Source organism: Homo sapiens, chromosome 3 (genome assembly GCF_000001405.40).
Source record: "Homo sapiens chromosome 3, GRCh38.p14 Primary Assembly".
Classification (NCBI taxonomy): Eukaryota; Metazoa; Chordata; class Mammalia; order Primates; family Hominidae; genus Homo; species Homo sapiens.
In genome coordinates, this window is record NC_000003.12 from 148934140 (window position 1) to 148957340 (window position 23201).

At 41.2% G+C, this 23201-nt stretch overlaps 1 long non-coding RNA gene across 1 annotated transcript; it reads left to right on the plus strand.

The window, feature by feature from the left end:
• Positions 1-2439: 2439 nt before the first annotated feature.
• On the plus strand, positions 2440-21949 carry LOC107986045 (uncharacterized). Its single transcript, XR_001740565.2, has 3 exons — positions 2440-2516; positions 6681-6794; positions 21443-21949. It is a non-coding gene; the product is annotated as an uncharacterized LOC107986045 (long non-coding RNA).
• The last annotated feature ends 1252 nt before the right edge of the window (positions 21950-23201 follow it).

Sequence of the window (23201 nt, forward strand, 5' to 3'; positions counted from 1 at the left end):
ATTCCTCTGGCTCAATCTTGTTCTACCTGCTACTGGTAGCCTCTGCTAATGGAGAGGTCTCTTCATATGTGGGATGATTTGCTTGGAATGGTGCTCAACTCCACCATGCCTTCCTCTTGCTGTTAGAAGGCAGCTCAGAAAGTGGCAGACTCACTAAAAGACTAGGAGCCTGTTATGGGCTGAACTGTGTCCTCCCAAAATTCCTGTGTTGAACCCCTGAAATCTAGTATCTCAGAATGTGACTATATTTGGAGATAGGACTTTTATGTAGGTGATTCAGTGAGTTAGGGTGGGCCTCAATCCAATCTGACTGGCCTGACTGATCCTTTCCAAAGAGAAAATCTGGACACACAAAGACATGAAGGCTGTAGGAACCCAGAGGAAAGACCATGTGAGGACACAGCAAGAAGGGAGCCATCAGCAAGCCAAGGAGACAGGCCTCTGAAGAAACCAACATGCTGACACCTTGGTCTTGGACTTGTAGCCTCCATAGCTGTGAGAAAATAAATGTATTTTGTTTAAGTTACCCAGTCTGCGGTAGTTTGTTATGGCAGCTCTAGCTAACTAGTATATTCCCCAGCCCCTATATACCCGCTAGGACAAGAGGCTGCTTGGACAATCTCATTCCGTGTACTCAGAACTCTCCCTCATGCTCTTTTACATTTAGATCCAATACCCTGTAAATGAATCTTCCGTTTTTCCAAAGGACATGAGGAGCTGCAGATGGGGTTGTTCTATTCCTTTTCCCATACAAGTTACCCCCACATCCCTTCTTACTTCTCTGCAATAAATGACTCCTTCAGGCCTCCTGCTTGCAAGAATCTCTACATAAGAAGTAATCCCTGGGTTCAGATTGCCTCCAATCCCTGGAACGCCTGTTAACCATTCCCAAGAGGTAAACTTCAGTCCAATTTGGCAATACCATAGTGAGCCTTCAGATAGAAATGCCATCTAGCCAGGAGAGAAAAATGCCAGACTCACCCCACTTCTTACAGGAGGCCCAATCACCACAAGTGAGTCTTCTGAAGCCCCTTCTGTATTTCTTGGAAGACAGAGCCTTGATGACTGGACCTATTCTCTAATCTTTTTATATAAGCAAGTGGGAGCAGAGGTGATGGTTGCTCTTGGTAAGCCCAAACGGAAGTGTCTGACCTTAATTGTCAGACACCTGAAAGGCAATCGAAAGGATCTTTCAGCATGTGGGGACTGAATACCTCTTTGTTCTCAACCTTGAGTCTTGGTCACCAATTCGAAGGCAATAGGAAAAGTCCAACTTCACACACAAGTATATATTTCACATTTTTTAATCAGAGGTGAAAAGAAAATGTAGTTTGTTTGGACTATAACTGATTTAGTCTTCAACTTCAGCCCCTACCTTCTAAATAGTGGGACACAAATCAACTTTTAGTCCTATCTGGTTTGAAACTTTATCCAATGTCTTCATTTAATTTGTACCCTCAGGTAATGCTCAATATCTTGAGATAACTGCTCAGTGTTTTGCCACAATAAACAATATTCATGTCACTTTGTACACATGCATAAGTGTATCATCAAGTAAATTCCTAGAAGTGGAATTTCTGGGTCAATTCCATTCAATAAAAAGTCAATAAATATTGAGAAACATATTTATAAATAAATATTTGACAGCTTGCCAGACACTGTTCAGTGGTGCATCAATGAACAAAACAAAAAAATAAATATCTACCCTTGTGGAGCTTATATTCTCATGGTAAGGAACAGATAAAAACACAATAAATAAGTCAGTCATATAGTACGTGAGAAGATGATAATAGCTGTAGAGATGAATGAGAAGAGTAAGAGGGAATGGAAGCAGGAAGTTGTGATTTTAAATTGAGTGATCAGGAAAGGCTGCACTGAGAAAGCAACATTTCAGCAAAGACCTGGAGGAGGTGAGGAATGTGGCCCTACAGATAACTAGGAAAGCCTGTTTTAGGCAGAGGGAACATTGAGTCCAAAGGCTCTAAGATGGAAGGATCGCTGACAAATTCAAAGAAAAGCAAGGGGGCCACTGTGGCTGGAGCAGAAGGAACCAGAACAGAATAAGAGATAAGATCAAATTGGTGCTGGGGCCAAGTTAGGTAGGGCCTTGCAGCCCAATATAGGAATTTTGGCTCTTGCTCTCAGTGAGATGGGAAGCCAATGGAAGAATTTGAGCAAAACATGAAACATGATCTAGCTTTTAACACACTTTCTGTGACTGTGTGTTGAGAGTAGATGTTGGGGACAAAGGTGATAGGAGGGAGACAGGAGAGGAGACCAGGGTAGCAATCCAGGTGAGAGAGGTCTTGGCTCAGACCTGGAAGGCAGTGGAAGAGGTGCAAAAATATGGTCAGAGTCTAGCTGTACCGTATTTTGAATGTATGTGATAGAGGTTGCCAAAGTGCCCCCAAAGGGGTTACACCAATTTATCTTCCCACCAGACATGGAGGCTTCCTGCTTACCCACACCCTGGCCGATGCAGCATATTATGAAACTCCTGAGGCTTTGCTGCTCTGGTAGGTAAAAAAGCAGTGCCTCATTTTTAAACTTAATTTGTATTTTTCCATTTGTGAGTGAGCATAAATATTTTCCACATGTCTATAAACTATTTGTATTTGTTTTTACCTGTTCATGTCCTTTGTCCATTTTTCTGGTGGGTTGGTGATGTTAAAAATTGATTTGTAAGAACTTTTTCTATATTAAAAATTAGCCTTTTATCTGTCATCCTTTCTCAGTCATTTCTCCTTGATTTTTTCTATAATATTTTTTCTGTGTATACATTTTTACCCTTTATATACTTAAAATTACTGATCTTCCCTTTTAGGATAACTTCTTTAGACAAGCATTTCTTATCCACCTATACTCCTTTCCCCAATGTCTCTTCCGAATACAGTAGTCCTCTAAGTTTCCAAAAGAAAGATCCTCATGGTCAAAATGTCTAGAAATAATTGTAGCCCCATCCCCTTCCTAGAGGCTTACAATGTACATGAGTTTTTTTTTTTAATCTCTCAGTAAAGAAACATCAAACCACAAACCATGACCATCACCCCACTGTTCTCTTATTTTCTATTAAGTTCCATAGAACTGGTAATACTTAGAACATGGTTTGGAAAACACAACATTAGATATTCTTTGGAAAATACCACATTAGATATTCTAAAATCTATCCCCCAGTCAATCCAGCCATGAGTAGTGCTCCTGGGTTACATTATTTTTCCTACTCTCTCCCTCCACATGGCCCCACCCCACTCCACCCACCCAGATCCCTCCCTGTCACCAGCAAATGTGCTGGGCACATGTAGTGTTGACCAAACTTGTACATGATTTCGTCTGACCTTTTCAAATTCATTTTCCTTCTGCCCTGCCCTCTTCATCCACTTATTTTGTCTCATCATTTTGAATTTATTTTGCTTATACATGAGACCCCCTTTTACATTATTTCTGGAACATAGCAGAGAATGAGTAAACATAAAGAAATCCCATCTATGTACCACAAATATTGGGCTAGCACGTAAAATCCCGAAGATATAAAGATAAGTTTCTTGAAAGGGAGGAGCCTGCCAAAGTGAGGCTGAAGGTTTGAGAAAGTGGATGGGGGAGGAAAGAAAGAACCTCTGGCTTCAGCAGCATGCCATGGCCCTGGAGTCACACAACCCGCAACGGCAATTGCCCCCTCCTGTCCTCATCTGTCACAAGGAGAGTAGGGTCCACCAGAAGGCATGCGGGACCTCTGCTGTGGTCAGGAGAAAGTGAGAGAAAGTTGAGATTGGAGGGGACAAGGGCTTGAGGAATTGACCCAAATTAGGAACTTTGGTGCTGCATTACCTGGATTGGAATCCTGATTCCATCACAGACCAGCTATGTAAGCAGCCCTCTCTGAGCCTTAGTATCCTCATCCTTAAAAAATGGCTAAGAACATAGGACTTAATGAGTTGGCACACATACACACTTCGAGCAGCATCTGGCATAAAGAAAGAACTAGGAAAAGGAACCCAGCAAGAAACATTAGGCTCAGGACAAAGAAAATGGAAATCAGAGGAACTGAAGAATGCAAAATCGTTCGTTCCATGTTTTGTTTTTTGATTTGTTTGTTTGTTGTTTCATTTGGAATGATCGGCAAATTGGGAGAAAGGTCCCAAGCACAACAGGATACAACCAATCCAAACCTAGGAGTACAGGAGCAAAAATAAAACTTATAAATATTAACTCAGATTCAGAGCCACTGCCTTCCCAAATGATGCCTTTCTGCAAATTAACGGGGTGGGGTGGGGTGGGAAAGCCCCTTCTCCAAGACATTTCCAAGCCACTCACCAAGAAATTATTTTAATAAATATACAAATATACACTGGCGCTAATATGGAACAGTTCCCAGTGTTGTGCAGTGTACATCCCACAAAACCACACACCAGCCCTCAGTTCTGGCTGAAGTTTGTTTTCCTATCTTTATGCAATATGTTACATATTCTTTATCATGAAATGTTTAAACAAGAAACAGGAGAATAACATAAGCCATGTTCATCTTTCCTCCTATTGTGGCAGGCTAGAAATTTTTAATGCTTATCAATTTTTCAAATAGATTTCTGAAAATGTATTTCACATGAGATGTATCTACTTCAAAACATAATTTTGAAAAAAGGAAATTAGCTCAAAAATTCAAGCTGTTGAAAAGTTGTTGAAAAAGATTGACTACGATCCAATGTTGGAAAAGCTGTGTTAGTAACTCCATTTTTCAATTAACTTCTGGAGAGATTTAACAAAACCTGAAAGGCTTTGAAAACATTTCTGCAACAATTGAGGTCCGCAGAAATATGACAGGGCTTGAAGTAGTTTGGCTGAAACAAACACAAACTAAACTTCTGGTTTGAGTAGAGGGTTTTTTTTTTCCCCCTCAAATTATTTTCCTTTCATCACAAAATAGAAAACCTCTTTGTTTCATGCATCCAGCTGAGCACCCATAGGCATTCATTCTGGTTTGGTCTTGGCTAAATGTAGAGAAACACAGTGGACCTGTTTCAAGTCGACGCTGCCGACTCGTCATGAATTCATCACTATACTGTCACAAATGTCCTCCTACAGTGCTTTTCATTGCCTAGTGGTACCAAAAGAAAAGAGCCAGTATTGTTTATGAAATGGCTGTGAAACAGATATTTGATTCTTTTTTTCCCCCTCCGAATCTGTTATAAGCAACGGAAGCAAAGGAAGGAGGAAGAAAAAGAGAAGGGCAGGCACTTCAGTGGTGTCAAACTGGGCCGGAAGGAGAAGGGGAGACAGAATAGAAGGAAAGAGTTGAAAGAGAAAAGAAGAAAGGTAGAGGAAAAGAGAGAAAGAGGAAAAAATCTTAGTTCTCCATCCACACACCGGGATATAAACAGACACTAATTTGGAGGATGATTTTTTTTTCACTTTTTTACCTTAAACCACAAATGTGTACATCTTGGTAAGTCGTGAGCCATATTTTTACTATAGAATAAGCCCTATACTCATAGGAGAATTTCTTTCCCAAAGTTGTGCTATTTCGATTTTTATCAGAACCTCTGGGTAACCAAAATAGGAGGAAAGTTTGAAACTGTCTTGGAAAAACAAAATGTTGCTCCATCTTACTGTACTCTCAGAGCCTGGACTAGGATGAACAACTCGAGCATCTGTGATGCCACACTGAAGGAGGCACTCACTCTCAGGTGCCACCCCTGCACTCACGCGCCCTGACTGTGGGTGCCTCCTTGAATTTAGCACCTGGGTGTCTCACTTGCCTCACCCTAATCTGGGCCCTGCCACCCAGTCCCACAAGTGCTCCTCTGCCCTTGCAGGAATCTGTGCTCTTTCTCTCACTTCCAGCTAAAAACCAGTTGCAGCGTCTCCTTTCCCTTCTGAATCTCCAACTCCTTAACCACTGCCCACTTTATCCCAAGCCTTATTCTCACCTCCCACAATCAAGCCTCTTTTGTCCTTAGGCATCTATGGCTGAGTTTTAAGCAAGCCACCAAGAATTTTAGAAGTTAATCAGTAATTCCTGGGCCTCGTTTTGATTCAAAAAAAAAAAAAGTTGCCAGGCACAGTGGCTCACACCTTGTAGTCCCAGTACTTTGGGAGGCCAAGGCAGGCGGATCGCTTGAGCCCGAGTTCAAGACCAGCCTAGGCAACATAGCGAAACCCCATCTTCACAAAAAGTTAGTCAGACATAGTGGTGCACGCCTGTGGTTCTGGCTACTCAAAAGGTTGAAGGAGGAGGATCACCTGAGCCAGGGAGTTCAAGGCTGTAGTGAACTGTGATCGCATCACTGTACTCCAGCCTGGATGACACAGTGAGGCTCCATGTCAAAAAAAAAAAAAAATCAATAAAAGAAATTTTGTGTTATCCTGTGAAACTATGAAACCACCTTTAGTGATCTCATTCCCTAAAAATAAATCTCCGAAGTTCTTTCCAAAACAGATTTGTACTTAAGGATGACGGAAAGTCTAACATGATGTGCCTTTCTACTTAGTTATTGATTGGATTACTTTATTATTAGGTTAGATTCAGAAAATGGTTTTCTAGAGGAAAAGATAATGTCACAGAGACACCTCCTGGGGTTTTCTTCAGTCACCCAGAACCATCCCTTTTCCCACTCAACTTTCTTCCTTCCCTACAGGCAACTGCTCTATACCAGGCCTCTCTTAGGGAGACATGTCTTATCCCTCAGGTGTGCGGAAAAACACGGCTTCTGCTGGAGATGGAAAAAGGACTCTGGGGAGGACAAGATGCCTCATGTCAAAGCAACAAGGTTCCAGTGAAGAGCTGCAGGCCTCAGAGGCAGGTAGGCAGAGCCATTTCTTGGTCTGAACGTCTTTCTTCTTCGGTCCCCAGCAAATCATCACAGTGAGCTGTCAGCATTTTCCCCACATTCTCCAGAAGCAGCCTCTGGATCCTAAACACAATTCTTCCTTTGATTCTTTTGATGACGGTGCAACAGCAAAATGCTGTGGCAATCAAAACTGCCTGAAAACAGCAGATTAGCCATTCCAAGTTTTAACTGAGTTAATCAAAGAACTGTCAGCACAGATGCTGTCCATGGTTCTCCTAGAGATGAAATCTCGATGCTGTGTCCTTGAGACTTCTCATTTAGAGGGCCTCTTCCAGACAGAAGTTTGGGATATTCACAAGACTAACTTCTACATGTGGTGAGGTTGAGGACGAGGATAGCAGTGAAGATGTGCCAGACACTTAAAAACACTATCTCATTTAATTTTCCAAAGAGTCCAGCCAGACACATACCAATGTCTCCATTTTGCAAAAGAAATTGAGGCTCAGAGAAGTTATATGGTCACTCAGCTAGGAAAAGCTGGAATTAGAATTGGAGCCTATGTCTAATGTTCTTAGACTTCACACTCTTTGCCCCTGTTCACCCCTCCTCATTTTTTCCTCCCATATGCAATGTGCCTAATACTCTTCTCAAGAGCACACATGCTTGATTCACAGCTTGGGCCTTGGCCTTTCTTTTCTGAGTTTGAATCATAGGCAGCTAATGCTAAAGGGGTCTTCTCACACAGCTTTGTGCAATCCTCTAAATTATGATGAGAAAACTAAGGAGCAATAGATTAAATGGCTGTGGCTCTAGTGAGCCATTGAGTCAATGTCGGCACCAGGACCACCACTGACTCTGGGGCAGTATGCTAGCACTTCATAGTGCTCTCAAAGTTGTGCAAGGGCCAGGCATGTGCCTCACACCTATAATCCTAGCAACTGGGGAGGCTGAGGCAGGAGGATCCCTTGAGGCCAGGAGTTTAAAACTAGCCTGGGCAACCCTTTTTCCTAAAAAGTTTTAAAGCATGGTGGTGCACACCTGTAGTCTTAGCTACTCAGGAAGCTGAGGCAGAAAGATCCCTTGAGCCCAGTAGTTCAAGGCTACAGTGAGCTGTGACCGCTGTAACGCACTATAGCCTGGGTGACAGAGCAAAATCAAACTTTTAAAACATATATATACATAATATATATTTTTAAATATTGTACAAGGAGAGACCCATGTCATGGATGTGGGGAGCTGATTCTCTCAAGCCTTTAACTTTTCTGGGACACACAGGTAAGTGGGGAGCTCTGGAGTGACAGTGAGGGGCAGCACTCACACATGTCAATCATGTTTGACTCTGGCACTTGCTGTTACTTTTCAGCAGAGCAATTCTAGTCATCAAAACCCATAGAGAAAGCACATATTAAACAGAAACAGATTTTCTAGCACTTTTTCTGGGTGAGTTCTTTCATTTTCTTCTAGGACTTTCTGGTTTTCTCATCCTGGAGTGTGGCAGTACAAGGTTTAAACTACTCTTCAAATCACCACCACTGTCTACTTCTTCAATTCCTTATTACCTATTTTCCAACATGGCCCCTTGGGCTGAGTAATCCAGTTTATATAAACCCCACACACCCTCTACAGGTGATTTACCTGCTCCTAGATGACTGCCTCCTCCCTCTGGTACCCACCTCCTTAGTTCCTCTAAGCCAGAAGTTGTAGTCACAAATGGCTTCAGGAGCTAGGAAGATAAAGAGAAATGTGTAAAGTGCCAGGTGTATGATGATAGGGAATGGTGAGGAGGGTAGCAAACTAGAAGGTGCATGCCCCATCTACAGAAATACAAATTTTAAAAAATATAAAGCATTCTGCTGACCAAATAGAATACTTGTACAGAACTGGATGCAGTGGCTCACATCTGTAATCCGAGCACTTTGAGAGGACAGGGCAGCAAGATAGCTTGAGGCCAGGAGTTTGAGACCAGCCTGGCCAACATAATGAGACCCTGTCTCTACAAAATTAGAAAATAAAAAAATTAGCTGGGCATGGTGGCACACAACTGTAGTCCTAGCTACTCAGTAGATTGAGCCTTGAGTAGCTACTCAGGAGGGCTGCTTGAGCCCAGGAGTTTCAGGCTGCATTGAGCTATGAATGAGCCACTGCACTACAGCCTGAGTGACAGAGTGACAGCCTGTCTCCAGAAAAAAAAAAAAAAAAAGAATCCTTGTGCAGCCTGGATTCACTTGGATTCAGTGGGCACCAGTTTTCAATCTTGTCAGGTCCCTCCTCTAAACTGCTGGCATTTCTTTCTTTAAATCCTTTCTCAAAGTCAAATTTGTTTCCTGAGTATTTTCTTTACTAATCACCGCTCCTTTACAACCCTTTAATTGTATATACAATTTGTACCCTTTTATCTGACTTTCATATTTTATGTATTTTAAGGCAAGAATGGTTTATCTATGTTTGATATGTCGACTTTACTTGAGGCCCTACCTCAAATTTAGTTAATCAGAACCTCCAAGGAAATATAGTGCAAAGTATACAAGTCTTATAAAATAACTCTTATTTGGTACAAGTTCTATTCCTAAGTGTTTACATTTGTGTCACTGGAATCTTTGGAAATTCCTAACAATGGGGCAGAAGTTAATTTTCTGCATCCCCATAGTTTGGAGGAAAGGGAAACATTCTGTTGTTAATTTGCACAAATACAAATAAACCATATGGCTTTCTGAATGACTGAGTCACTATGACACCCAGCCAACTATGCCTCTACCATTTCTCACATGTCTCCCAGAAAGCTGTCAACACAGTTCATCTTAATGACTCATCATTCTGTCATCTGCTGCCCTCTACTGGAAAAGAATACATATAGCCAACAGTGTGGTCCAGAATCCAGACCAACCTCCATAAAATATTAACTGTCACACAGAAAAATCGTCCCTACCTCTGTGGTTGGAGTGTTGGAATGATATAACAAGAACATGACAAATGTCATGTAACAAAAACATGTCATATAACAAATGTCATATAACAAAAACATGACAAATGTCATCCCTACCTCTGTGGTTGGAGTGATATAGCAAAAAACATGACAAATTACAGAAGAGTCAAGCTACAGGTTTTTTATTATGGAAAACTAAGTTTGCGTTGAAGTAAAAGAGACAGGAATCAATGATTCACTGGTGGAATATGGAAAAAAAATGAGGCTGGGAAGAAGCCAGAATGAGATTTTTATACAATGCAACAAACATGCCATTTAAAAAAAAAAAAAAAACTTTTATTGGTGCTTTTTCTTCATTATAAAAGTATATAAACTCTATGGTACACATTTTTAAAATTATATAAGTATGTGTTTATCTTAAAAAGTATAGATAAGTGACCAAATAAAAATTCAACCATCCTCTATTAAAGAAATACTACTGGCAATATTGCAAGTATATCATTCTATATATTATATAATGCGTAGGTAAACAGATGATTTTGTTTCAACAAACGTAAGGTCTGGCTGGGCACAGTGGGTCACACCTGTGGTCCCAGAATTTTGGGAGGCCAAGGCAGGTGGATTGCTTGACCCCAGGAGATCGAGACAAGCCTGGGCAACATGGTGAAACCCCGTCTCTACAAAAAAATGCAAAAATTAGCCAGGCGTGGTTGTGCATGCCCATAGTCCCAGCTACTCGGGAGGCTGTGGAGGGAGGACCACTTGAGCCTGGGAGATGAAGGCTGCAGTGAGCCGAGATCACATCACTGCACTCCAGCCTTGGTGACAGAATGAGACCCTGTCTAAATATACATTTTTTTTAAATTTTATATCACATTGTGCACATTTATATATCACACTTTGCATCTCATTTCACCCTCTGCTTCTTACAACAGTATGCTGAGGCCTGAGAAGATACCTGTTTTCTGAAGTCATTACCTACCTTTATGTTTCAACCACTCAGAGTGTGAGCTCTGTGACTGTGCTATGACAGACAAAGTTACCTGCATTTCTCTTTTGGGGCCCTCTTTAATCTGACTATTCCAGCTGACAAACAAGTGACCAATCATAGCACATTTTATTTCCCATATCGTAGTTAAAATAATCAATCTGGAAAATAAATTACACTGTGTAATGCAACTATACTCATCATGGTAAGTTGTTTAATTGTTTACGATCCACTACAGTACTGGATTTAAACTTTGTGGATATGGCACTCTATTCCTGCCTTAATAAATATTTTTAAAGTTATATCTATATGGAAGGGGCATTTTTCCTAAAAAATTAGGAAAGACATTTATCTCTCTTGAGAGAAAATTTCAAAACTAACCAATCTGCAGTTATCTAAAAATGAAACAGGATCATCATTTCTCCAGGCATGTGTGGTTTGTTCCCATGTTATACACACAAGAAAAAGAACAGCATCTGCTTAAGGGAAAGCCCTGATGGTAGGAATGAAAGACAGCATGGCCAGATTTAATGTTAAAGCAAAACTAAAACCTCCAGGATGGTACTTAAGTGAGTGTGATGGGAACGTATTGTTTCCTTATAATGATTTTAAATGGAAATTACAATTCAATCACAAATAAAAGTAAATTGTAGACAGTGAGGGGAACAAATCTGTTTCACTCGGATTCACGGTGATTATCAAATTAGCAGCTACTCATTCACCACTAACCATTTTCACTCTTCTCAGTCTCCCTAACAGCCCTGAACTACAGCTTCATGGTGATTGCAATGGTGGCAGCTCATCAAGACTGTATTTTAGCTGTGCTTTTATCTTCCATGTTTTTCTTGCTCATTGTTTAGCAAGGTAGAGGGGGGAAAAAAGCACTGCCCCTGTTTTAAAGGAGTACCTGCGCCTGTTTTAAAGGTTGTACAGCACCAGGTGAAGGACTAATATCTGGCTCCAGGCTGCCCTCCTGACCTGTCTCTAGTACTTCCCCTTCACCAGCCCCACTCTAGCCACACTGGTCTCCTCGCTGTTCCTCCACACACCAAGCACGCTCCTGCCTCAGGGACTTTGCATCTGCTGTTACCTCTGCTGGAACCCCCTTCCCACCCACATCCACGATATTTACTGCTCCTCTTCACTATGGTCTGAGTCCAAATGTCCCTTCGCAGAGAGTGTAGCCTTCCTTAACAGGCGCTTTCTAAAACAGCACCACCTGTCACTCTCCACCCCCTCACTCTGCTTTGTTTCTTCCTAAAACATTTATTTGTCCCCATACCTGACGTGATATTTATACCTAAAGGGGCATCTCTATTTTCTAATTTGTATTGATACATAATAGCTGTACCTTTTCATGGTACATGTGGTAACTTTATAGTCATATAATCACATCAGGGGAATTGGGATATCCATCACCTTAAGTATTTACCTTGTCTTGATGCTAGGCTATGTGTTTCTTTATTGAAAGAATCCAGTATCAGCCAGGAGATTCTGACAAAGGAGGTCCAGGGTAGATCTGGCCGTACATATGTTGAAAAGGTCACCAGGAAATACTGACGCACACCCTGGTTAAGAATCACTGGCTTAATGGCTATTACAGCTTCTGGGGTCATGAGGTCTTGATTAAAATTTCAGCTGGACGGGCATGGGATGGTACAGGTCTAGGCCCAGTCAGTGGCATGGTAGCAATAATACCCATCTCCCACAGCTGTGCTGAAAATAACAGGAGATAATGGATTTGAGCAACCTCCTGAACTGGAAAGTGCTATATAAACACTTATTATTAGTGCCCCATTTCTTTTCTGAAAGTGAATTCCTTATATTTTGAAGAAAGAAAAATTTTAAAACAGTAATAAAATATATTTTTATTTAGAACCCCAGACAATATTTCTGAATCAGATTGATCAAATCAGTTGCTTTCCTGTTAACTCAAAATTGTATGTCCATTTTTATCTCTAAAGGCAGTGCAAAGGGAAACAAATAGAACTTAGCCAATACTTGTAGCCGATCTAAATAATTCCAAATTCTGAAATTCGAAATATTAATAATAGCTAGCTGCGATTTGGCCTGCATCGCCCCGGCGCTGCTCTATGGGCGACGGGGCAGCCTCCCGGGCTGCGAGTTTCCTGAACGTCACCCGTGGGCCCGCTGCTCCATAAGGTGGGAAGTGGCAGCTCTGCCCGCGGCGCATGCCCAGGAGCGCAGACAGGTGGAGGCGGGAAAAGTGCTGCCTGGAAAGACTAGGACACAGCACTTCAGAAAGCAGCAAGCAGAAATAGGGCGTTTTGTAAACACTGGCTCTAATCACAGGAGAGTCCAATGTGATCTCCGAAGGGGCGGGGTCCTGTGTCATAAAAAGCAATCGGTGAATTGAGGAGGCTTCTCCTCTGGCCGCTGGCCTGCGTCGTTGAAGGAGTGGCATGTCACCTTCTGTGATAGAAATTAGTCCTCCAGAGAACTGATCTATGGTCGCCTTTTATGACAGATATCACCAGGAAAGGACTTAAGAACACAGAAGTGGGGATATTTTGTTATTCATGTTTATAGAACCAAGGTAATAAAGGTATATTTTATAGATGTGCTTCTTATGTCACTAGCCAGGTTTCATTGGATCAAGGGTGACACCTAGTGGGGAGACTGTGCTAAACTCTTATTTTCTGTCAAAAAATTCAAATTAGTTTGTAAAATTATCCCACATATAACCAAGGTATCATAAAACCAATGTCTTTTACAATTGCACCCAAAATCCTGTGACTTCAATCTCCATAGGAACAACAGAAAAAGGGGACTGACACACTGAAACTAGATTTAAACAAGCCAGAAAAATATATACGCCTATGAAGAAACAGAGAAGGAAAGGAAACAGAGTTAAACTGAAACCCTGTCTCTACTAAAAATACAAAAATTAGCCAGGCGTTGTGGCTTGCACCTGTAATCTCAGCTACTCAGGAGGCTGAGGAAGGAGGATCTCTTGAATCTGGGAGGCCGAGGTTGCCGTGAGCCAAGATCTTGCCACTGCACTCCAGTCTGGGTGACAGAGTGAGACTCAGTCTCAAAAAAAAAAAGAAAAGAAAAAAGAAAGAAAAGAAAAGAAAAAAGAGAGAAAACTAAGCTTTGTCCCAACCTTCCTCAACATGGTGAAAATTTTCCATCAGAGGGAGAGAGGACAATTAGGATTTGACTAGGAATCTGTGGCAAGGACTTTTTAACTGAAAGCAGGTGAAAAACAGTGGCTAGTGCTGCCGGAAGCCCTGCTGAGCAGCCTGGCCTGGGGCAGTTGTCCCCTTTGCCTTGTGGGATCCCTGGATCCCACAACCCTTGCCCTGCAATTCTGAAGTTCTGCAATTCACATGCCATGTTACACCAACCAGGACTATCTGGGGGCCACCTTGGGCTTCACACCCCAGATGCTATCACCATTTTTTTCTGACTCTCAAATCAGGGCATATAACCTAACACCTACCAAGTCAGACTATAAAACAGTCATTGAACTAAGTAAGGCCTGCCTCCAAAAATTTAAGATATTAACCTGTAACTATATAGATCTGTACTTGAGTTTTTTTTTTTTTTTTTTTTAGAGGATTCCCACTCTGTCGCCCAGGCTAGAGTGCAGTGGCGTGATCTCAGCTCACTGCAACCTCCGCCTCACAGGTTCAAGCAATTCCCTGTCTCAGCCTCCCGAGTAGCTGGGACTACAGGCACCCACCAGCACACCTGGCTAATTTTTGTATTTTTGTAGAAATGGTGTTTCACCATATTGGTCCAGCTGGCCTCAAACTCCTGACCTCAGGTGATCCACCCGCCCTGGCCTCCCAAAGTGCTGAGATTACAGGCATGAACCACTGGGGCACCCAGCCTATATTTGACCTTTTTGCTTTCCATCAAGAACTTATTCTGCTTTCTAATTCCCTCTGGGATAATATTTTGCTTTTTTTTCCCCCCTCAGGAATAACCATTTGCTGTCATTCAGGAAAAGGATTTTATCAGGTGCTAACAGTTTCCTATTTCTCTTTTATCCATGATTTCAGCTTTCTGGTTTCTCACCTCCTTCTCACCCACTCCCCTCTAAGTCTCTAAGTCACCTTCTCACAGGATTCTTGAGGCCCCAACACAGGGTTTCCATCTCAGAGTCCTCCCATACAGGGCCTTTCTTCCAGCTGTCTCACAATGATTCCTCTGAAACTCACCGAGTAAACATTAATTTGCCATGAAACAGCTCCCACTCGAGCATCTTCCATTCCACTAGAAGCGTGCACTTTATGACTCCCATGCCTGGTCTGCATCACGCTGTTGGTTTGCTCTGGCAGCCCTGTTGAGCCTAATGGTATAATTCATTCCCGTTTGTTTTATTGGTTAAATCAAATTAAAATGTGTATTTGGCCGGGATATAGTGTGCTCACTTGTGTGTATTTTAATTTACACACATGAACCCAGTTTTGAGACCCAGAGGCCCAGTTTAAAAATTAGAAGTTTTCAAAGCCATACTGCAACAATCAACAACAGTTAAAAGACTTCACAGACAGCAAATATTTAAAATAAGTTTAATTACCAAGAACTACTGGTCTTCGAGCCCAAGGAAGTATGACTCCCATCTGCAAGGTTCCCACACCTGATTGCAACAGAGTGACCGGATATCTTTCATAGATCTCCTGAGCTGAAGTCTCTAGGCAGGAACCTAGAATCTCTATTTTCCACAAGCTCTCAGCCAGCCCCACATATTTTTCAGTCCAGTGTTTGAAAGCACTGCTCTGAATTGCACCTCTTTCTCATCTCAGAATTGCTCTGAATTTCTCACCTCTTTCAGAAAGATTTGATAAAACAACTTCTACCAGTGTTTACCAGCCTAAAGTCTTGCATACCGTCTTGATTCTTGTCATATCTGTGTACCACCTCTACTGTAATTTACCTAATATGTGTATGCCAGTTGGCTTATATTTTTGCATAAATGAACTTAGTTGTTTAAAAACTATATCATTGCCATGAAATCACGACTTTGGTGTATATATATATTTTTTATTTATTTATTTATTTATTTTGAGACGGAGTCCCACTCTGTTGCCCAGGCTGGAGTGCAGTGGTGCAGTGGTGCGATCTCGGCTCACTGCAAGCTCCGCCTCCTGGGTTCACGCCATTTTCCTGCCTCAGCCTCCCAAGTAGCTGGGACTACAGGTGCCCGCCACCACACACAACTAATTTTTTTGTATTTTTAGTACAGATGGGGTTTCACCATGTTAGCCAGGATGGTCTCAATTTCCTGACCTCGTGATCCGCCCGCCTCGGCCTCCCAAAGTGTTGGGATTACAGGCTTGAGCCACCTTGCCCGGCCATATTTTTCTAACATACAATACAATAAAATGTACAAGTAAAAATTGCTTTCAAATGTTCTTCCCTGTAACAGTAAACATAGTTTTTACATCAATGGGGTAGCCTTACAATATCTGAGAAAACACTAATAAAAGGGAATAATCTGATCCCACCTTTCCTCCAAAGATGGCTCTAAGGAAAAATGTAAATAGGGAAGTTTTGTATTGAGGGCCTCATTCCTCATCCATGTTCTCCTTCCTTTAAACAGTAATCACATAAATCACTGGGGGTGGGGCCTGGGTATCGAGTAATTCTAATATGAGCTAGGGGTAAAAGCCATTATGTCATTTCCCTTTCAAAAGACATTTCTCCTCAACAATGAACCTCATTCCTCCTACCACTTCCATAGGGCCAGCCTTTATGCACTGAGAGAAAGCCAATTTTCAGGCTGTCCTAAATTCATACTACATCAATATGTCTATACATCCACTACTGACAGGCTTGTTTTACTTATTTCATTCTTCCTTTCTTCTTATTCTGTTTCGTTATTTTATTAGCTAAAATAAATGACTTTTCTGATTTTGGAAGCAAATGTTCAACGAAAGAAAATTTAGAAAGTAAAAATAAGTAACAAAAGTAAACACTTTAAAGGCCCATAATACCACTTTTAACACTGCAGGACATATATCAAAACCCTTTCTAGAATATGAGTCAGAGTGTTATTTAGAAAATGGTATGTGCTGAATGCACCACTGTAAAAGAAGGAGAGATGCTTTTTCCTCCCTCACTCCCAAGCAAATTTCGTGTTCTAAGTCTGAGCTTCCTAGCCTCAGCCACTTGTTAATAAGTATAGTTGCAGAGCTACAAACCAGAAGCCAGGAGGTGCTAGAAAGCTAACACTCTATCCACCCAGAAAGAGACTAGTCCTGAGAGTGGAGGCCTAAGCCAGGAGGACAGAAGTTTTGCCAAGGAGGAGACCAGTGGCATTGGGTTCAAGAAATGGTGAAGATCTATGCCCCACTCCCAAACAGTCCTCAAGCAGTGACCTGGACTGAACCCCAGGTTTTTGGCCTTGGCACACAACAAAAAATTCCCGTGCCCAGCTTGGTAGAGGAAAGGAAGCTGCCCTCTTAAAAAGGGCAATGAACATCCTAAAATCCTCAACAGCTTTATAAATCAAGAAGAGCCTCCTAAAACTCAACTGAGATGGAATGTCCTGCTAGTTGTGGTCGGTGGGAGGGGACAAATTGATCTAATTTGGAATTGTTAAGGCCCATTGACCTAAACCACCAGATTTCTGGAGCCTCTTGATAAGAGGGAGTTGAGAGGGCTTCTTATAAGATCTGGGAATTTAATGGATAAATTTAAGGAGAAATTAGGAAAGTAGGGATCAAATCTGGATGAGATTCTGTCAAAATGAAGGTACAATTTTTATCTTAGCAAGGAAAAAATTTTTATCTTAGCAAGGAAAAAATCTAAAGTGGGTAAGAGTTGTCATTCATTTAAAAAGAAAGAAAATAGCAGTCACTTCTGTTAAAAGAAGAATGTATCTAGTCATTTTTATGGTTATAGAGTGGCCTCATCTTTATCTTGTTCCAAACATAGTCACAGAGTGGCCTTGTCTGAACATTGTTTATATTCTGTAAGCATTGTTAGTGTTCACTTGGGAACGTCATGATCCAGCAGCCAGCAGCACAAATTTTTACTTTCCTAAACAAATAAAGGAATGTATCACCACTCAGACCAAACTAATATTTACTTTATATATATACACACACATACAAATAAAATATTATGCTATACATACTATTGGATAATATGCTTTATATAATGACATAGCATCAGTAGCTTTCCATGACAGTGTTCATCAGCATCACTTTAAATGTAGGAATGGAGCTCCATCATGCAGATGAGCCAAAACGTGTTTCATTAATCCCCCATTGCTCAACATTTAACATGTTTTCCTTTGTGTGTGTATGTGTGCGTGTGTGTGTGTGTGTGTGTGTGTATTAGTTTGCTAAGGCTGCTGTAACAAAATACCACAGACTGCATGGCTTAAATAAGAGAAATTTCTTTTCTCACAATTCTAGAGGCCAGAAGTCCCAAATCAAAATGTCAGCAGGATTGATTTCATTCTGAGGCCTCTCTCCTTGACTTGTAGATGGCTTTCTTCCTCCAGTGTCTTCACATGGTCTTTCTTCTGCGTATGTCTATGTCCTAATTGCCTCTTCTTATAAGGTTACCTGTCATACTGAATTAGGACCCACCCATTGGACTTCATTTTACCTCAATTTCCTCTTTAGAAGTCCTATCTCCAAATACAGTCACATTCTCCACTACTGGGAGTCAGGACTTCAATATATGAATTTCGGGAGACCCAGTTCAGCCCATAACAATGTGAACATCTCTGTATCTATGATTTTGTGTACATCCATAGTTATTTCCTTAGGATAAATTTCTAGAGGTGAGATTGATAGGTCAAAGTGAGACCACAGTTTGAAGGCTTTTGGTAATAACATCAAATTGCCCTGGAAAAGTTGGCACGATCTATGCCCTCACCAAGCAGTACAGGAAAGTAACTTTAGCCCTGTTTCCTTCATTGTGCTTTGTAGTTTTGTGATCTCTTTTTATTGGTTTCATATTTGGCAGATTTGCCTATCTCCACATGAGTTCAGATAGCCCAACATGTTAGTGAGACCAAGACTGTAAGTTTAATAGCTTCAGTAGGAGTTTTTATCAGTAGTTATATAAACAAAGAGAATATCCTATACATAGTAAATCAGGACTGTCATTTCTATACACAAAGGACAGCAAAGTTAGATTTTTTATTGATAGAAATAGTGCCTTGATTTTTATATCAAGCATTTAATACTCTATTTTATACTCTACGACATCTCAATAAATGTTTGTTGATTATCTTTTAAATACCAACTAATTCAATTAGAAATCTTCTGGTTTCAAGTGACAGAAAACCCAACTCTAAATGGCTTAAGCAAAAAAAAAAAAAAAAAAGGAATTCATTGATTCATATTGATTCATGTAACTGAAAACCCTGTGAGACAGGGTAGCCACAGGTGAGGCTTCATTCTGAAATTAAAGGCTGCCACCACCAGGGCCCACCTCTGTTTGGCTGCCTTTGGACTAGCTCAATGCCTAAGCTCTCTGTGATGGCCTCTGGCAATGCCAAGCTGAGTCACAAAAATGGCTGCAGGAGAATCAGAAGAAAGTCACTATAGACACTAGGCAGAAAAGCAACAAATACCACTATTCTGGCTCCCATATAGTTCTAGAGCTAGCAGGAAGTTTAGAAATCATTTAGTCTAATAATTTTTAAAAGTTTTTTTGTTATGTTTTGTTTTGCTGGTAACCCTTTCTTCAGACAAGAGCTTATGATGAAGTCAAATATATAAAATAGAATTAAAAACTGAAAGGGTAAGTTGAAACAGAGGTGAGGATCCCTTGCCCCCTCGCTGCTCATTCTCCATGAGGCACCTCCAAGGAGCACACTATTAATTACTTTAGAGATAGAGAAACTGAAGCTCAGAACACATACATTGCTCATTCTGGAACATCACCCATGAATGACAGAGCCAATGGAACTCAGGAGCCTTCACCCTGTCCCGTCAGTCTTGCCGCTTCCCTCACTGGTTGCTCCTCACTGCCATTTTGAGCATTATGTTTAACTGATATCCTTGATCTAGCAACTCTGCTCCTACCAAAAAAAAAAAAACGGAAGCAGAATTGAAAAGCTCAATTGCCTGCCATCTGTGTATATGTACAGCCCTTGTGTCTCCAGCCACAGTTGGTTACTGAGACTAGCTCAGAACTGAGCAGGCTCAGAGCTACATTAAGCCTCTGTTCCTCCAAGTCCATTTGAGATTTTTAATTTCAAATCAGAAAAACAGTGCCTACATCAGTGTTTCTCAGGGTGTAATCTAAGAATTTTGTGGATACCTCTCGCTCCAAAGCCCCCTTAGGAATTCTTGAGTTTAGAAGATATTTTTGGACAAGGTATAGTGAACCAAAGCTGGAACCTAGAAATAGATGTCCTATGAGAAAGAAAGCTTATCAGTTCTAATTTAAAAGTTAGAAGTCCTTTCTTTAGTACATGATTGAGAGTTAAAACCAATACTGGAAAAAGAAATGAAAAAAGCGACCAGATTTATGCAGATAAATTTGCATAGGCAGTTAAAAATAAAATAAATATTTTAAATAAAGTAAAATAAGCAACACCATATATACCTGATGAGAAGCATCCCCTAAAATATCACTGACATGTTTTATCTGAATTTATAGCCAAGAGATGGACACAGGAAGACTGCTGTAGCTCACAAATGAATTCTCTCTTTCCTCTCTGCCTCCCATCTCCTTCTCCTACTTTGTATTAAAGCTTTTCTTATGCAAAAGATCCAGGACATAGAAGAAAACAGAAAATTTCATTAACAAATTTTCTAAAATAAAACAAAATACAACCTTAAAGGCCATTGGGACACTAAGTAACATCCTGAGCTGTATATATGCAAGATTATGGGTTAGAGCCCACAGAGAAAAGTCACAAGAGACCAGAATGGAAGAATGATTTCTGGAGAGTCTCATGAAATATAACTCTCCCTTTATATGGAGGAAAATTGTTTCTATTGAATCTATGATTTCTAGCAAACCCCACACAGAATTGTGCATTGGTATTCCACAATTAAAACCAATTTTAATTACTTGAAGCTAGATATATAGAGCCTCTCAAAATGTTCCTTGTAAAAGAAAATTTTTCCCTTGACATAGAAAAAAAAATGGAGAAAACTGACATATTTTCATGTCCCTTTTAGATCTAAAATTATTTTTGGGGTTTAGTAGAAGAAATATATTAAACCCATCACGATTTGCTCATCATAGAGCCCTGGATCTAGTACATAAAGAGATGTGACTGTTACAGGAACAATTCGAGTTGAGGAGGCATTGATTTTTCTCACATTTGGGCTTGAATAACCAAAGAAATTCCTTCATGTCCCCCTATAACCACCTGTTCACATCTCAGTTATTTGTCAGCTGATGTTGTAATTTTCTGTTACTCATCTATATTTCCCACGACATTCTTAGCAAAGGCAAGGGCTGTATCTCATTTATGATCTTGGAGGGCCTAGGAGAATGCTTGGCCCTCAAATATTCAATAAATTGAGTAGGCACTTAATAAATGGCATAGAAACAGAAGCATAAAAGTGACCAGACGAACCCATTGCAACACCCGTTCCAAGCTCTGAAATGCTACTATTTTTACCTGTTTTTCTGGATTCGCAAAAGGCTAAGTGTAAATCCCAAAGAAAGTCTGGGTCCGAAATTTCAGAAAATATGGCCAAGTAAGAATTAGAACTGTGGAAGGGGTTCTAGAAACACTGGGTGAAATGAATGTATCCTCAATGGTATTTTTTTGCTTTTTTTCTTTGCTAGTTTATTTCATCAAAAAGATCGGAAGCCTAAAAACAGCATTGTTAGGGAACTGGCAGCTCAAGACAAAGAAGCCGAACCAGAAGAGGGCACTCTTACCACAGAGATTTACAGCTAATGGTTTTTTTTTTTTTTTTTTTTTAATGTTTGCCCCTCAGCAGGGCCAACAGAGAAAGCAGGACATTCTTTCCTAAGGAGCTCATAACTCTCCCAGCCAAGCAAGAAGGAAAAGGCAAAACACCAAGGGTGAAAACTTAGCAGAGAATGCCAAAGGCAATGACCGTGCTCTCTGACCATCACACGCTGGAGGCAGAGCTTTATATGGTTCTCAAAGGATTGTTTACCTCCTCCTCACTAAACCTTAAAAAAAAATGTATTCCAAAAACGAATTACACCAAGCCAACCCACATTACTCAGTCTACGAAGCCAACCCACATTCTGGCCTGTACTGCCTTTCAACTCTTCCTATTTCCACTTGCTGGAATAAATCATTTCACTCTAGGGCCAAAACAGGTTTGATTTCATCTGTCAGAGGCCTGTAACATTAAGCGGCAGTGTGGTGCTTGTTAGAGGAGGAGCACTTGTATTCTCCCGGATCCCCTGTGGAACCGCCTGGGCTTCTGAGCTAGGGAAGCAGATAAACCCTGTCCCTGCCTTCACCCTTCTTTGGGGACAGTTATAGGCTGACGGTCTGAACTTTGGGAGAGACAGGACTTCGGTTATCCCTCTCCACTGAGGGCTGCCACCGCACACAATTGATCCAGAGATTGGGAGATGGGTAATCCATCTCATCCTGTCCCTAAAGCCCTGTCTTCCGCAGTCAGCTCTGTTTGAGGACTTCATTTGTGTACTGGTCCAAAATGTGCCCTTCTCCTAGCCTGTGTATGACTAGGAGACTACTTCAACTTCCTTGCCCACAATTCTTCTCATTGCTTACTCTAGCCAGACCGGCCTCTATGTTGTTCTTTGAACACAATTGTGTTCTTGCCTCAGGGCCTTTGCACTTTGATTGTCCCTCTATCTAGAATTATATTCTCTCAGATACCACATGGTTCACCCTCTCGCTTTCATTCAGGGTTATGCCCGAATGTCATGCCTTCCCTGAGCACGCACATCTACACTAGCACCCACAGTATTACACTCTATCCCGACACTGCTGTATTTTCTTCATAGCACTCCTCACTGCCTAACGTTGTTATAAATCTAATCATCTATTTCTGTCAACTCCGCAAAGGCAGAGACTGACTTCTATTTGTCCACAATTGGATCTGCCGTGCCTCGACACAACGGATGTTCTCAGTAAACAGAGAATTAATCAATTAAAATATATCTTTCAGCCCCTGGGTTCCCTCTTCCAGCTTCTCAGGTACTCCTCATTCACTCCAGAATTAAACTAAATCCTATGGCGTGGCATTCAGGGCTCTGATCAGACCCTGTCCTCCCTTTCTGGCCCTGTCTCCGATTGCACACCCTCCACCTGCAACGTACCCTGGAACTCCAGTCAAACCTGGATTACCATCCACTTTCATGCCTGGATGCCTTTGCTCCTGCCCTTCATTCCCTCACCACTTGCTGAAATCCTCCTAATCTCTGAACACCCATCTGACACGCTCACTCCTCACAATGAAGAGGCATTGTCCCTCCCATCCCAGCCACAGACAGTTCTTCTGTCCTCCAATGCCAGTTTGTACATCACTTGTATGATGCCCTCTGTTACAAATTATTTCTCTCTCTAACTTTCTCTGCCAGTAGACAAAGTAGA